Source organism: Homo sapiens, chromosome 2 (genome assembly GCF_000001405.40).
Source record: "Homo sapiens chromosome 2, GRCh38.p14 Primary Assembly".
Classification (NCBI taxonomy): domain Eukaryota; kingdom Metazoa; phylum Chordata; class Mammalia; order Primates; family Hominidae; genus Homo; species Homo sapiens.
The window spans coordinates 10,964,791-10,981,686 of NC_000002.12; the positions used below are offsets into that span (position 1 = coordinate 10,964,791).

The 16,896-nt window shown below is 47.8% G+C and overlaps 3 annotated features.

Annotated features, from left to right (window-relative positions):
• Positions 1,008–1,984: an enhancer, noted in NCBI's record as "H3K4me1 hESC enhancer chr2:11105924-11106900 (GRCh37/hg19 assembly coordinates)". NCBI's record gives its function as "activates a minimal SCP1, AML or CMV promoter by ChIP-STARR-seq in naive H9 embryonic stem cells {active_cell/tissue: H9 hESC(naive)}" and the evidence as "EXISTENCE:reporter gene assay evidence [ECO:0000049][PMID:30033119]".
• Positions 3,219–3,720: an enhancer, noted in NCBI's record as "H3K4me1 hESC enhancer chr2:11108135-11108636 (GRCh37/hg19 assembly coordinates)". NCBI's record gives its function as "activates a minimal SCP1, AML or CMV promoter by ChIP-STARR-seq in primed H9 embryonic stem cells {active_cell/tissue: H9 hESC(primed)}" and the evidence as "EXISTENCE:reporter gene assay evidence [ECO:0000049][PMID:30033119]".
• Positions 3,721–4,220: an enhancer, noted in NCBI's record as "H3K4me1 hESC enhancer chr2:11108637-11109136 (GRCh37/hg19 assembly coordinates)". NCBI's record gives its function as "activates a minimal SCP1, AML or CMV promoter by ChIP-STARR-seq in primed H9 embryonic stem cells {active_cell/tissue: H9 hESC(primed)}" and the evidence as "EXISTENCE:reporter gene assay evidence [ECO:0000049][PMID:30033119]".

Sequence of the window (16,896 nt, forward strand, 5' to 3'; positions counted from 1 at the left end):
TGAAGGCCCCTCTGCATGTCAGAGGAAAGGGAACCTTTGAAGTATCAGGGACGGGCCTCTTGTTCTGGCTCTCCTGCAGTCTGGGCCCCAAAGGCTCCTTCAGCTGCCCCTTTCTTTTGGTGAATGGTTCCTGCCACTGTCCTCCAATAAACTCCAGGCCCTCCTCACTGTTTCTGTAATGTCACACTTGGGCCAGAACACAAGTTGGCACCCCCAGGGAGCCCAGCACAGAGTCTCCAGATACCTTGATCTTGACACTGAATTTAGATGACCTTAGAAAAGGGGAGGGGGGTAGGTAAAAGAAAAAAGCTACAAGTCTTATTGCTGGCTTATGTGGAGAGAGGAAGAGAAGAAAGGAATACCACTTCTGCCTTACTAGGGGCCAGGAGCTGTGCTAGGTGGACCCATATACGGGTTCCATGTAGCCCTGTGGACTCCCAACACTGTCTTCATACAGAGACAAGCCGTCTTCTGCACACGCCACGGCACTGTGGGCCCCGGTGTCTGCAGGACACACGCCTGTCCCTGTTCACTTCAGCCTTGCCTGTTTCCCACTCTGGCCGACCTGCTGCCCTCCCTGCACCAGGCATTGGGGTGAATGAGTTTTTGTTCCCCCTAGAAGTTCTATCTGGGGGAGTCAGACTGCTACAAAAATCACGCGGCCAGCCAGATGGTGACGAGGCTGAAATAGAAGCTCATAGACTGTGGGATCTACAAGCGGGAGAGGCTGACCGTGCCCAGGAGCTGGGTAAGGGCATCTGCCAAGGTATTTTGGAGGAGGTGAAGAAGGCGAGTAACAATAATAACTCATGTTTATACCAAGGCTGTTCTAAGCACGTGACACTTTTAAGATCATTTGAGCCTCGCCACAACCTCATGACGTAGGTACTAATATTCGCTGTGTTTACAGACAAGGAAACAAGCACAGCGATGGGACACCATTTGACCAAGTTCCCATGACTTGGAAGTGGCGGACCAAGGTGTCCACTCTGGCTGTCTGCTCCAGAACGGGGCTGAGCAGAAGGGCATTCTGGACTCTATGGATGATCTGAGCAAAGGCCAGGGGGCTGCAGAACACGCAGGAGAATCCAGGATGCAATGAGCGAGGTGAGCTGGGAGCTAAGACCAGAAACGTGCACCAGGCCCCAGTCAAATGGAGAAGGTCCCAGAGCGCTGAAGTGAGAGGTAAGGAAATCATCACCCATCACAGGGACAAGGCACCCCAGTTGAGAAGGTGTCTTGTCTGAGTTGTTGTGTGGCTGGACATGGAAATCAAAAAATGCTGAAAAATGACACAGCATCCATAACTAGGCTGCCCAGAGCTACCACGGTGACCACAGTCCATGCTCCCAAGTGCCCCCAGCTAGCAGGGGCTGCGCCCCACCTCTTCCTTGCCTTGAATGACCACTCTTACGATTGTCTCGGCTTCATTCTGATCCTCTCGTGCAGCCAGGAGGAAAGTCCTGTGGCTGCAGAAGGACGGCCCTGCCCCCATGTGTCTCTGCTCAGCCTGGGGCTGGTCAGCTGAGAGGAGGCCTGAGCAACCCCTGGTGGCCCTGCAGGTGGAGGCGGCAGCTGGGGACAGGGAGTGGTTAATTTAGTTTGGGTGAGACATGGCAGAAAGCCAGATTCTGGCCACAGGTCTGGTCTCCTGCCTTCCAACAACCCTCTTTCCTCCTGGAAAGGCTTCTCATTTCCAGACAGGCTCCAGCCTCCACTCTTGGGCTGCAATCTCCTTGTGTCCTTTGATGATCAACAATTTCCCATGGCAGTGTGGAAAGGAAGAGAGGTGAGGAGGTGGTGTCCTCTCAGGACATCTGCGTCCTGGAGACAGGAGGAGAGCTTTGAAGAGGCAAGCTCACCTTCATTCTCATTCTCTCATCAGCCCTGGGGTCGGGGGGAGCTGTCCTCCAGGGCTCAGCCAGGACCTCTTCAAATTCCTGCTCAGTCCCAATGACATTGATTATCATGTGGGGCTCCATTTGATCTGATTGTTCTCAGTTTATGGATGAGAGACCCTCCTCAGCAGAGCTGTATTGGGCACAGTCAGTGAGGTCTCTCCGTGTGGAAGCCTGTGGGGAGGTGACTTGCCCAAGTCTGCCCATCGCTGATGCTCACAGGAACAGGAGCGGCAGCTGCTCCTGCGTGGGATCTCTTGGACACGGGCCTGGACCCCGCATGCATGCACAACATCACGTACTCACAAGCAGGACAGTGACTTCCACCTGTTAAACTCACTCTGCAGTGTCTCGCTGAGTCCGCACGAGAACGCAAGGTAGATGGTGTTATAGTCAATTCTATAAAGAAACAATTTCTGAGGGATGGAACGCTTGCTTCACGATGGAGGACACAGGATACGGACCTCAAGGAGTGGGAAGCCCCGACCCTCCCCACCTCTACATGGGCATGTGAACGGTTCCCACAATGACCATCCAGTATTTTCACTGGCTCATTTTAGCAATTCCACATTTATTCATTCAGCAACTGTTTGTGTGACTATCTGTTGCTTTGGTGCACAGAGCTGGATGGGGTGAGCCAGTGTTCACACTGCAGGGCCAGGCCCCAAAGCACCTGCCTTTCTGAAATGAATTCTGGGTCTGCTGTAGCCTCGGGGGTACCTCTTCCAGAGTGGGGAGTGGACAAGGAGGAGTCTTACATCAAAGGGATGAAGGTGGCATTTCTGGGAGCAGGAGGTTTTTGGAGGTGGGGGCAGGATCTGAGATCACCCCACATGGGCTGTTTCCTATGTCACAGCTGCATGGGACCAGCCCTTTGAATAGATTCCCAGCTGGTCCTGTTCTAGATGACAGTCAATTGAAATGGAGTTAAAATATTAAAAAGGATGTGGCTGAAGCCTTGCCTGGCCCCTCCTCCTCCTTGCTCAGGACTGGAAGTTGGAATTTGAGGGGACGATTGTGGGGGCTGAACGTGGGGATGGCAAGTTCCCTTGCAGAGGTTCCATTTTCCTTCATCTGCTGTGTGACGGGCACCTGGCCTGCATTGTCACGTGTCATCCTCATAACTGGGTGGCATCCCATTTTGTGGAGGAAGTCACTGAAGCTCAGGGAAAGTAAAGAACTCAGCCAAGGTCACTCAGCTAAAGGAATGGCAGAGCCACGTTTCACACCCAAGCTTCTTGGACTCCAAGAAGGGAGCGTTGGGTAGCAGCACATCCGAGCATCATATAAACTTTTTAGAAAAGTAACTTGGGCAAGATTGGCCACTACTTGCTCACCCCCTCAACCATTTGGTATTTTTACAAGGAAATAAAACGCACCCTCCTAAGGATTCACAACTGCTCTAAGAATAACTAGGGTTTGCCGAGGCCCTGGCAATGTTCCTTTTGGTTTTCTCATTATGGCTTTCATCCATCTTTAATTTCATATTTAAACTTTTGGATACAGATGATGAGTTGTCAATGAGGCCCCCGTGGACACTTGCTCCTTGTCCACGCCTGGAAGAGGGGAGGAGAGGTGTGGCCGGCAATGCCAGACAGAGCCAGGGGAGTCATGCTGGCTGTGGCCTGTCCCTGGAGGATGAATCTGTCCTGCCAGGGCGTCTGGAGGACGCAGCTGAAGATGGCCCTCAGCACACTTCTGCACTGGGGTGCTGCCCGTGCACTTCCAACACCTGCCCTTCCTTGGCTCTGAGCTTCCTCCTCAAACCTCGCCGGTGGTCAGGCCATGAATTCTCCGATTCTGAGTGATCTCTGCTCCTTCCGAGTCAGTGGGAGCCTCCCTTCTCCTCCCTCTCTCCTTGCATCTGCAGGACCTGGGTTTGCGTCCACCCATGGGTGCGGCCCATGACCTTCAAACAAACCCAGATGGACTGATTAAACCTCATCTGCTTCTGAAATCAATCTTTCTGCAACGTGAGCCTGTGTGGCTAGCCTGCTCTGGGCCACAGTTGATGGAAACCCGACTTCGAGTAGCTTACAGGAAAGCAAGCTTGTCTCACTCAGGCAGGCACCACAGGGCCTCTGCACCCAGACTGCAGACACCAGGAGCGGGGCTCACCCCCAGGCTCTTCTCTCCCTCATCTTCGGCTCCCCGACTCACCTCTGCCTGCAGAGCACCATGGCCACTGACGTCCCAAGATTCCAGTTGGTTCTGCTTGGTCTGTTAAAGGGTTAATCTTTTTTTTTTTTTTTTGAGAGTAAAACATGACTCTCACAGAAATAGAAAACTAACCAGGTCTAAGATTTTATTTAACTAATTAAGTAATGAGAGAACAAGTAAGATCAAAAAACCAAGTTCAAAGGAGAATCAAAGGACGTGTGTGTGTGTGTGTGTGTGTGTGTGTGTCTTTGTGTGTGTGTGTGTGTGTGTGCAATCAGGAATGCTGAAATGAATTCGCTAATAGAGGCAGACTTCTTTCACAGGGAGTGGTAAACACTTGCAATTTGAATGGACACCAGTGTTCAAATTTCTATGAATTGAAATAAGATGCATCAACATCAGCTCTCCACGGCCAACTTGTATCTTTAAAAAGTTGAATAATAATCAAAGACAATAAAAGACACGGACTCCTACAGAATCGGATGATCCCAGGAGAGTCCTCTAGACGTCTAGCAGCCACTTTAAATATGTATCTATGTATGTATGTGTGTATGTATTTTTTGCCCACTTCAAAGTTCCGCAACTTGTCTTGGCAGGTGTTACTAGTCCATTCTCACACTGCTATGAAGAAATGCCCGAGACCAGGTAATTTATAAAGAAAAGAGGTTTAATTGACCCAGTTCTGCATAGCTGGGGAGGCCCCAGGAAACTTACAATCATGGTGGAAGGCACCTCTTCACAGGGTGGCAGGAGAGAGAATGAGTGCCGAGTAAAGGGGGAAGCCCCTTCTAAAACCATCAGGTCTTGTGAGAACTCACTCAATATCACAAGAACAGCGCGGGGGAACCGCCCCCATGATTCAATTATCTTCACCTGGTCCTGCCCTTGACACGTGGCGATTATTACAATCCAAGGGCAGATGTGGGTGGGGACACAGAGCCAAACCATATCAGCAGGTCACATAGCCTGGGACCAATTAACTATGGCCAGAGGGGCTGAGCTCTGTGAGTCACCCAACTTGGAAGAGGTGTACATCCCTAGACCCAGCAGTCTTTCCAGAAGACAGGAGCCCAGCTACAGGGAGCCCATCTGAGAATCCTGGGGTCTTTCCCAGAGAAGGTGAAATTGCTGTCATCAGGATGCCACCCCCATCTTGTCCCCATGTTGTCTGCTTGTGAGAGTTTACCCTGAAGTCTGCATCTCAATGTCCCGCTGCATTTTTCTTTCTATTTCCCACATTTCTTATTTTGAATGCAAAAACAAAACCTGCTTTTAAGCAGTTTACATTCACCCCTGAGTGTCTAATGTTTCTTCTGGATTTGTTATCTGTTTACCTAGCAGTTTCTAAGATCTTCATACCCACTGATTGTATATCATTCATTTGCTCAACAGATGTTGGCAAGTACAAGCCAGGCTCTGTATCTGTTGCTGGGTGTTTAGCTACAAACATCACGGACAAAATCCCTGCCTCATTGATTCTTCATTTGAGAAGACAGACAGCAAACAAACACATAAATAATATTATTTCTAATAGTGTCAAGTTCTAAGAAGAAAATAAGTGAGATAATTGGACCAAAGGTGATGGATGGGTTAGGGTGGGGTGGTCAGGGCAGGCCCTCCTGGGTGAGGGCACCAGCCCTGCAGAGCCCAAGGATCCGAGCTCCTGGGCAGAGAGCCATGCAGTATCAGCCAGACACACCCAAATACAGCCATCTCATCAACAGCCAAGCATACACAACATTAAATTCTGACATCTTTCACATTTTACCAAACATATAAGCATAAAAGCAATAGTGTCACACATATTTTTGTCGTTTTGCAGTTATAAAGGTACCTTGGTCAAGGTGGTAGAATGGCATGGATTGGATCTAATTGGTTGGCTTGGCACATAACCTTTAGGTGTGTAGACATACAGTGTGTGGATCTCCTTTTGTGCCCCTGCAGGACCCCTAGTCCAGGGAGAGCCATAGAGGGCCTCCGAGGCTGGCCCCACCCTCATTCCTCCCAGATGCTGGGCACTGAATGAGACCCTGCAGGAGGGGAGGGAAGCTCTGCCTGTTATTTTCCTATACCACACACAAGTCCAGCCCACGAGCCCTCACCCAGTTCTACAGGTCTTCAGGTGCCTTTAGAGCTATTGTAATCATCAGTCCCAGACAAGCCAGCCCTGACCCCCAAACAAATCCCCATTGTTGCTAAAGGCTATGACCGTTTTCTGCAGGGGGGACAGAGAGGGAGGTCTGGCTCTGATATGTTAGCTCCAAAGGGCAAGGTAAGATTGAAAAAGCTTCCAGTTCTCTGACAGGCAGGAGGAACAGGACCTCCCTTGGCACCCTCCCCTTCAAGCCCTGGGGTAAACTTTCTGGGATGCAGGGTGGGGTTGGGTGCTGGGGGCTGCAGGGACAGCCTTCCGTGCCAAGGAGAGCAGTGTCGCTGGAGACTCAGACAGGCATTTGAAAGGCCCAGCGAGAGCCCCTCACCGCTGCAGGGAGACCTCAGTCATGAGCCACTGTCAGTCCCTTCAAGCTTATAATTTGATACAACTGTTACTCCCTGGACAATTAGGCACCCAGTTGTTCCTTCATAACACTTGGATGATGGAACCTGATTCCTCCAGGGCTGGGCATCCTTTCCCTGCAAACCAAGTATCTAATTAGCACCTTCTCCTGGGAAGCAGACAAGTCATTAGCTGCCACACACCTTGGCACAAGCCACACATTCCCATCACGTGTGACAACGCTCTTCAGACATGAGCTGACTGCCCAGCGAGCCCGGCTGAGGGGACAGCACAGGTCCAGGGGACATAGGTGGCCCCCAGTGAGGAGAAACAAGGGCACGGAGGTGTCCAATAGGCCACGCAACAATGATGTTCTGGATGATGGGTCGATGGGCCACATGTCGCTCAGGGATGGCAGGGGTTGCCTCTGGCTGGGGCATGGGGGAGCTCAGGGAAGAGGGGACAGGGCGCTTGGGTGAAAGCAGCAGGGTTCTTCCTCGCTCATCCTCCCCTCTGTGCAAAATCACGTCTGTGCTTGGAGGCTGCTGACTGCAGCCTGTGTGTGAGCTGGGCCCTGCCTGGGGCCAGGCTCTGGCTTCCTGGCTCACAATGCGTTTAGTGGTCCATGAAGAACAGGCTGGACAATTGCTGCGCTGGTCTCTTCACGCTCCCAGGGAGTGCAGTGATGGCACGAGGCTACCAGGAAACCCGGGAGGAGCTCGTCTGATTGCTCCCTGCTCTAGCTTCTGCTCCCAGGAGGGGGCTGATGGCACATTTGGCTATAGGGTTAAAGGCACAGAGTTCAGACTTTCTTCAGTCACTGAGTTCCCCTTTCTACCATAAAACCGTTGCATATCTTTTTTAAGAAACCTAGTTATAGTTTGTTTAAAGCGTTTTGAAATATTCTGTTGTGCTAAATCATGCATTCTCAACATGAGTGATCGTGCTCCCCAGAGGGCAAAAATTGCTTCTTAGATTGAAAATACTTGACACTTTTTATGTATAAAGCCCAGATACACATACAGTACATCGGCAGACACACAGTCTATCTGTGGGGTTCAAGTTTCATGGGGGGCACAGGCAGGAAATGAAAGTCTAGAAAGGCTGTCCAGGGGGACACTGATGAAGGAAAGACTGAGAAACACCGCGCTCGACAGAAGGGAGCTTGAAAAGCCCTTCTTAAAAAGTCCATTTGGAAGGGAGCGCTACAGAGATTAGGAACAGCACATCTTGTATTCATGTTTCAATAACTCATCATACCCAAATGAGCACCTATTGTATACTGGGCCCTGCTCTAGGCGCTGGGATTAGGAACAGTGAATAAAATAGACAAAAGTCCCGAGCTCAAGGAGTTTCACTCCAGTGGGAGGCAACACGAGACAAGGTGAGTTCAGTCGCAGCGTGTTGCCTAGGCCGTTGGACTGCCATCGGGCAAGTCATGTACCCGGAGGAGGGAGGATGTGACACAGTTGGTAGGGGCAGTTAGAGTCGAGCAGCTGCGGAAGGCCTCACTGCAGAGGTGACACTGGAGTAAAGAGCTAATGGGAGTGAGGGAGCCCGACTGGGGAGGTCTTTGCTGGTGCAGGGGAAGCGGGGTGGAGGGGGAGGGATGGGAGAGGGGAGTGCAGAGGGAGAGGTGGGGGAGGGGTTGGGACATTCCAGGCAAAGGGAACAGCAAGTGTGAAGGCTCTGAGGCAGGAAGGCATGGCAATTTTGAGGAACAGTGAGGTGGCCAGTACAGGTCACACAGGGCAGGGAGGCCACAGGGAGGACTTTGGCTGTTACTTTGAGTGACATGGGAGCCACTGTAAGTTTGGGGCAGGAGAAGGACACGATCTAATGTGTTCTGAAAAGGCCTCTCTAGCTGCAGTGTTGAGAACCCACCTTAGGGGGCTGGGTGGAAGCACGGGCCTGCCTGGACGGCATGCAGTGGCTCAGCCCGGGATGGCCAGAGTCTGCACAGACATATGAAGGGACAGATGACAGGACTTGAGATGGATTGGATGTGGGGTGTCCACCTGGGGAAAAAGAGATACGGAGTGGCTGGAACCATGAATGACTGTCTAAGCCCGCTAGCTTCAGGAGCTGGGAGAGAAGTTGTTGGAAAGGAAAAAGTTCTCCTTTTTAGTCAAACATCACCACATCGGGAGGCACGCACGCATGGACTTTCTGGGGCTTCTGGGTCAAGATGTTTGACTGTGATTTTCAAAAATCCTTTGAAATGACAACAGGCTTTGCCTCCCAGAAACTCCTTAAAAGGATAGTAAAGAGGCTTAACAGGGAGTAAGTTAACACAGTGCTGAGAATTCACAGGGGCACAGCAGCAGCCCCCAGTCGTGGCTCATTGCTGGAAACCAGAAGGACATGTGCCGAAACTGACAGACATATCAGAGTGGAAGGAGTCCAGCTCAGAGCTGGCATGGGAGTGGAGTCTAGGAGTAAGAGCCAGTTTTCATGGCAGAAGCACCCAGACTTGGCAAGGGCAAAGGAGAAAGCAGGGCAGAGATGGCAGAGTGAGGAGACCCCAGGCCCCTCTATCCACAGGACAAGCACGTGTGCGCACACACCACCCCCATCTCCCACGCCCCCAGGCTGGGGCCAGGCAAATGCTTTCACAAAAGAGGCTGGTGCCCCCAGCAGTGACCTCCTCGGTGGTGCATTTCTTAGGGATGGAGACAAACCCGGTGCTTGGAACAACCGTCCCATATCTACAAGAGTGATCATTTTCATCCAGGGAGAAGCTGATAATGGCAGAGGATTCTACCCCAGCCACTCTTTGTTATTAATCAGCTTAGACCTTCATCAAACTATGAATGAAAACAAAACTCACAGGTCACCTGCAGAAAACAGTACAAAGGAGAAGGAACAATACGAACACGAACAACAAAAGATCCCAGAGAAAAAAGAAATAACTTAGGGAATGAAAGAAAACATTCAAAGTAATTACAATTAGTATCCTCAAAAAAAAAAAGAGAGCAAATATTTTCTCAGTAAAAGTAAGACAAACTGCTACCAAAAGGGAGAAATCAGAGAACAAGAAAGAGTTGGTTGAATTTTTTTTAAAAAAGCTATTACCAAAATAAAACAACAACAACAGAAAGGCAATAAGAAAAACCATGAAAAATCTCCCAGAGCGAGAGCAAAGATAAGGAGATGAAAAAATATATATATCTGTGTATTCATCTGTTCTTGCATTGCTATAAAGAAATACCTGAGACTGGGTAATTTATAAAGAAAAGAGGTTTAATTGGCTCACAGTTCTGCAGGCTGAACAGGAAGCATGGCAGCTTCTGCTTCTGGGGAGGCCTCAAGGAGCTTCCAATCAGGGCGGAAGGCAAAGTGGGAGCAGGCATCTTACATGACCAGAGCAGCAAGAGAGCAAGGGGGGAGGTGCCACACACTTTTAAACAACCACATCTCACCAGAACTCACTCACTATCACGAGAACAGCACCGAGAGGATGGTGCTAAACCATTCATGAAGGATCCACCCCCATGATCCAATCACCTCCCACTAGGCCCCACCTCCAACTCTGGGGATTACAGTTCGATATGAGATTTGGGCAGGACACAGGTCCAAATTATGTCACTATGAGAAGAGCTAAGCAACATAGAAGAGTTTTGGACAGACAGAACAATAGAGAAAGATTTCTTAATGCTGAAAGCATAATGAATAAAAATGAACACATGAATCAAACTGGTTATACCCTTATGATATCTAAGAGCATCAAATATATTTTCAAATTTTTATTTATTTATTTATTTTACTTTTTAAAATAGAGACGGGGTCTCACTCTGTTGCTCAGGCTGGTCTCAAGTTCCTGGGCTCAAACAATCCTCCTGCCTTGGCCTCCCAAAGTGCTGGGATTACAGCCACTGAACCCAGCTAAAATGTGAAAAATATAAAAAGAGAATCCTAAGAGCTAAAGAGAGAATAATTTTTTTAATAATCTTGCTTGTTGGTATTATTATTATTTTTATTCCTAGCTTTTTGACTTCAGACATCTCAGCAACAATGAGCACTACAAGGTAATGAAACAACGCCTTAAAAGTTCAGGCAGAAAACTAGTTTAATACTGGAATTCCAAACACAGCCAATCAACCAATTAGGTGGAGGAGAAGGGTGAAAGCATTTTTAGATATACAAAGACTTTACAATTTCCACTCACTTTTCTGAAATGATTACCAAAGTATGCACTCTGAAAAGATGAAAAAGGCACCCAGCCTTTGTGTTCTACTCACATATGATTAGGACCAGGTATGGGATGTCTACTTTCAGATCCTTAGGAAACCATAGAAGAACTGTAATTGCTACTTTAAAAATTTCAGAGAGAGGCCAGGCGCAGTGGCTCACATCTGTAATCCAATCCCAGCACTTTGGGAGGCTGAAGAGGGCAGATCACTTGAGGACAGGAGTTCTAGACCAGCCTGGCCAACATAGCGAAACCCCTGTCTCTACTAAAAATACAAAAAAGTAGCTGAGTGTGGTAGTACATGCCTGTAATCCCAGCTACAGGAAGCTGAGGCATGAGAATCCTTGAGCTTGAAAGGTGGAGGTTGCAGTGAGCAGAGATCACACCACTGCTCTCCAGCCTGGTGACACAGTGAGACTCTGTCTCAAGACAAAAAAAAATTGCAAAGAGAAGTTAGGGAAAGAGGTGGAGGTGAAAATAATCTAAATATTTTAGTCTTCATGTGTGGGCATTAATAAATATTGCTTCAAAATAATAAAGCAAAAGGAGACATCTAAACATATTAAGATAAAACAAAACAAAAACAGTCAAATGATTTCCACTTCTGAAATGCATACTATCGTGTACTGCTTGAAATTTTATTTCCGTGTATATTTATGCTTTTTAAAATAATAGGTCTTTTATAATCACTCTCTGGTTTTAGTCAAACCAAAATTTGCAAAATCTGAGGTAATGCTAAAAGACACAGAGAGAAAGAAATCCAATTTTTCCTTTGCATAAAGGGACTGAGAATTTAGGGTGAATGTTATAACCTGACAGGTAATATGCGTATAGTAGATACTTCATAGGATTGTTGTTGGATTTAAATAAAATATTTCATATGAAACTTTAAGCTCAATGTCTGACACACAGTTAAATACAGAATAAATGTTCATGGTTGATCTTACTGTTGTTAAAACTATAATACTATTCATGTGAATAATAATAATATATTGATTAAAGTGGGAAAGGGCCTTTTGATGTTAAGCCACACTGAAATGATGAATTGTATATATTCGTTTATTAGTTCAAGGAATAGACTACTTCAGTATATTTGTATACCCATGCAATGGAAAGTTACGAGGCCATTAAAAGTGATTTTGAAAGACGTTGTTTTAATGTCATGAGAGGATAACAAAACTGTGTTTTTGTTTTGTTAATATATTAAGTATGATAAGTGAGGGCTAATAAATATTTATTGAATGAATAGGTGACCAAATACACACACACACACACACACACACAAACACACACACACAAAGTATCTACCAAAATATTAATATTGCTTTTCACCAGATGGAAAGATATAGAGTGGTTTCAATTTTCTTCCCTTTGTAATCTGCATTTTCTATACAATCTGTAACTGTTTTTATTACTTTTGTTGTACAAAGCAAACAAAAAGAGGGAAGGGACAACAGAATGTTATTTAAAGATATAGCAGAAGTTCTAAAACCTTATTCCTATTATGACTTGTCATTTTATCAGTGTATTTTGGCAGAAAATGCATAACTCTCAAAGCAAGAGCAGCTCTGGGCTAAGTGACCTTTGTTAGGAAGCCCCACTTCCTCCCGTCATCCCCGGCGACAGCTACAGGAATCGTTGACCTGATGCCTCAGAGAAAATAATCAAGCTTTGAAGGGTTGGCCTCAAAACCTCAAACTGATGATGAAACAGTCCACAGCCCAGCCTTCCCTGCCGCCTGTCACCCAGTATCCCCGGAGGCTGGCGTGGGATGGGACAGAGAACCACAAAGACGACCCTGCTCCTCTGGCCAGCCGGCTGCTCTTTTGTGCACCTAATTTATCCATGGAGGCAAATCTGATCCTAACTTAAGGTGGAGAGAAATTCTTGAAAATATTAAATATGGGCCAAAGCATTTCTTTTCCTGCGATTGGCTGAAAAGCTTAGTTTAAGTAACTTTGTAATTATTTTCACAAAGCACAGCGATTCCCACACAAATCGCTTGTTTGCTGAAGACAGTCCATGCTTTTGTCATGAGTTATTAATATCTATCTTTTGAGAATTTGGGGTTTTAATTTTTGATCTTTTTGTGACATTATCACGCAGGTCATTTTGAAACAGAATCTGCTATTCCAATGTTCTTACAACTGTGAACTAAAAAAGAGGTGTACCATTTTTAAATTATATTTTTCTCTAAAAAGGAAGAGATTATCAATCATCTCCACAGGCAGATGAGAAGGGGAAAGCCGGGTTTCTAAGAGCTCTGCCTTCAAATCCTCCAGCCCGCCCTCCCCCAACCCGAGCGTGTTCCTGCCAGATAGGAAAGCTATTTTGAATGTGAATCAGAGCCAGTCTCATTACCCACCAATTTTCTATAATTTTCAAATAATATTTCATCGTTTTAATTTTTTTTAAATGTAACATGGCTGCCAAGACCGACCACATTGACTTGCCTGACATTTTTCAAAGGAAGAGCTAGAGTAAAAAGAAAATAAATGTTCTTTTTTTTCTAATGAAATTGAATTGAAAGCAAAAATAATGGAAGTGGCTTTGCACAGGAGAAAACCCAGGCGCTGGAAAGCCCTAGGAGACTTTTATCAGAACTTATGGAAAGGGAAAAGTTAAATGACAGGAAGGATGATAAGAATAATCGTGGCCCCTCCGCCAGAACTCTGCACCCGGCTGAGTCCCCGTGCTTCTCCCATATTCTCTCACTGAGTGCTCGCAGCGACTCTGTAACACACTCGCACCGTCCTTGTTATCGGGCCCCTTTTACAAATGAGGGATGAAGAGAACAGCTGTTTCTACCAGAAAGAAAATCCCAAATGGAAAAATAGGACACGTCTTTGCTCGGCCCCAGTTTCAGATTTCCATCCATTCTCCAATGCAGTCCTCCTGCACGTCCGCTCAACGCAGGCCGGGGCGCACTGTACTGAAATCGATTTAGATTTTCCCATCGCTGCTGCCCACCTCTGGCCCTGGAAATGTTCCTGTCCTGGGTGGGGTGGGGCAGCGGGGCCCAGGGAAAGCCCTGTGGGCTGAGCATATTCTAATTCCCAGGAAAAAGCTCCGACCACCCGTCAGCATGATGGGACTTGAGTAATGGGGTGTCAGAGCCAAAAGGGACCCCCAAGATGACCCGGTGGAACTCTCTGTCTCATTGAGAAAAACACGGAAGTTCAAGGAAAAAAAGTAACTTGCTAGAGTCACCAGAGAATCCAAGGCAGAGCCAAGAAGGGAGCCTTGGGGATGGGAGGGGCAGGAGGGAGGGTTGGGGCCTTATAGTCTGCATAGCCCACCTCAGCCTCTTGCCTACATAGGATTCAATACATGCTCAGTGACTGTTGTCTTCCAGGTGGTCCGTGGCCTGTCCAGGACCATTAACTCCCACCTTGGGCCACTGCCCCCTTCCCTCATGTACTCAAGAAAACTTAGAAAAAGATGGACTGGAGAGTTATTCCATATCACACAGCAAACGTGCCGAGACCAAAGAACTCCTAAATTCTGCCCCGACACCCACTTCATATGGCAAGGGGAATATTCCTTTGACACACACTTACTGAGCACCTGCTCTGGGCCAGACTGAGGGAGGTCATCAGACAGACGAGACTTCTGCTCTCCTGTGGTCCTTCACCTAGTAGAGAGGAGAGAGCTGGGCAGAGCTGTGCCCAGCACTGCCACCTGCATCACGAGGGCATTTTCCAGTAGAGGGAAGATAGTACAGTTGACCCAGGGACAAGGGGGTTGAGGGTTTGGCAAGACCTTAGTTCAGCCAACCGCCATGAGGGAAGAGGGTGCCAGTGAGGGAAGAGGGTGAAGATGGAGGTGGGGGTGACAGGTATAAAGGGAAGGGGCACATCTCTAAGAGGTCAAAGCACAGGTATGATCAGACTGAGGGCAAAGGGACCCAGAAGGTTAGAGGCCTGTGGTCAAGAAGTGGGTTTCAGGATTTTCAGGGTGGTCTGCATGTGGTGATACACTCCAGCACTGTCCAGCCCCCCGTACTAGTGACCTCTCCCTGCTGGGGTGCTGAGAACCCCAGGAGCCGCCATAGGAGAGGGAAAGCCAGCAAAGCGGTCGATGGCTCCTCTGATCAACCGGAGCCTCACTTTCATCACTGTATTTTTTCTGGCTGTGCTAATTTCTTTAAACCTCCTACAGAGGTTCTTCTCTCAGTAACCTGTTTTGATTTTTCCCTTCACTCAGCCTTTGGATTACCTTAAGGATGTTCGTTCCTTTTTTGGGCAAAACAATTACTGTGCAAACAGACTCATTTTGTCTTGCCAGTTACCTTGAAGTTATCACTTCCACTTAAATAGAATCTGAGCTAAAAATAGGTGTACCGAAGTGGGTTTCCACCTGTCTCATCTTGCTTCCCGACACCTGCGGTCCTCTCCTTTTCAACGCAAAATAAAGCTGTGTGCGACACATCAACACCCACCAGCAAACGCAGGTCCATTTAGGCGAATGGACATCAGCGAACAGACACTTTTATCTTGCCTGTCTCCCCTTCATTTTTCAGAAAGCTAGGGAACAGAAGTATCAGAAATGCCAAGCTACTTTTTTGGCTATAGCTCTGAAGAAAGAAGGCTCTGAAAAGTGGTCGGCCTGTAACATAAAGATGTGGGCTGGATGTGCTGCCTTTTGAAATGTCAGGGTTTTTGTTGAATAGGCATTGAGTTGGATTGGAAAGGTCAAAGCTGACAGACTCAACTCATACTCAGAAAATCAGCTCACAGCTCCTTTTCTTCTCATCACCTCCCAAGTGGTAGGTTGCTAACGTCACCCTGGCTTTCGGCACAGCAATTAATGGCTTATGAGCACAAGCCAAAACATAAAAAATAAACCAGATTAAGAAACTGCTCTGTAAAATGTAATAGCTGTTTCATGTCCTCCTCAAACCTAAAATGGTTCATGGTGACTAGAAGTCATGCCTTCATTAAAGAAAGTCTTCGTTTAGGCAAATAATCAGAGAAGGTATCAGGTCCTGCCAGGCCCCAAGCTCTTTTTCTTTTCCTCACAGATGAAATCACCTGATTCTTGATACAGGCTCAGTTTCAGCTCAGGCACTGGGGTCAACCAGCTGCTGTCTGATGGATCTAGAAGCATCAGATTCGGACCAAACACGTGACTGAAGATGGGGTCTGCTCCATTCAATACACACCAGCCAGGGGCCTGCTCTGGGCCCGGCATGGTGCTTGTTATCGGGGGCGCTTAGACTAAAATAATACAGCCTCTGCTTTCCAGAATGTCTTCATAGGCCAAGGGAAACAGGCAAATAATCAAATAACTGCAGTGCAGGGAGGTGCAGGCTTTGACAGGGTGGCACAGGGTGCTTGGGGAACAGAGAATAGGAATGAGTCTTCCTTTGACTTTGAACCAAATCTCAGGAAATGGGGCTCCTGCCAGTTCTCTCCCATGGGGGTTCTGTATTCCAGCCCAGAAGCCGGTCTTATTTTGTTCTGCACACCTGGCTGTTCTCACATCTAGGTGACTGGCAGGTGCTGCCAACCTTCCCACTTTCCCCCTATCTCCCGGTGCTCTGCTCTGGGCACCCCTGGCTCACACCCTTGGCTACACACTGGAATCACCTGGGGCTTTTAAAACTCTGCTGCCCAGGCCACACCTTAGACCAATTAAATCACAATTCCGAGGGGTGGACTCAGGCAACTAGTTTTTAAAGCCTTTGTGGTGATGCCAACTTGCAGCCGAGACTGAGAACCACTCACGACCTGAGTGTCATCGCTCTGACCAACCCACTGCCATAAATACCCCCCAGCTCCTGATCCTGGGTCCACTGCCAGCTTCTGCCCACCTGAGAAGCCACACCCACCACCAGGTCCTAGGGCTTCCCACGCTGGCCCATCACCATGCCAGAGGCTCCCAGCACCCATTCTGACAGCTGGAGGCATCAGCGAGATATTCACACTTGTCAAGAGCAGTGGAAGGAAGCTTCTATTACTGGTGCCTAATGAAAGTTTTTGGAGTCTGTCAAGCCTATTTGCTTTGAATTTCTGCACAGATTCAACACCAAGAAGAAGCCCATGAGGGTGAACAGATTTGTTACACCAACAGCACCCGCCCCATGCATTCCTAGAATTCTAGGTATCAGGGAATGCTCCAGCATCACGTCTCAGTGATGTGGAACC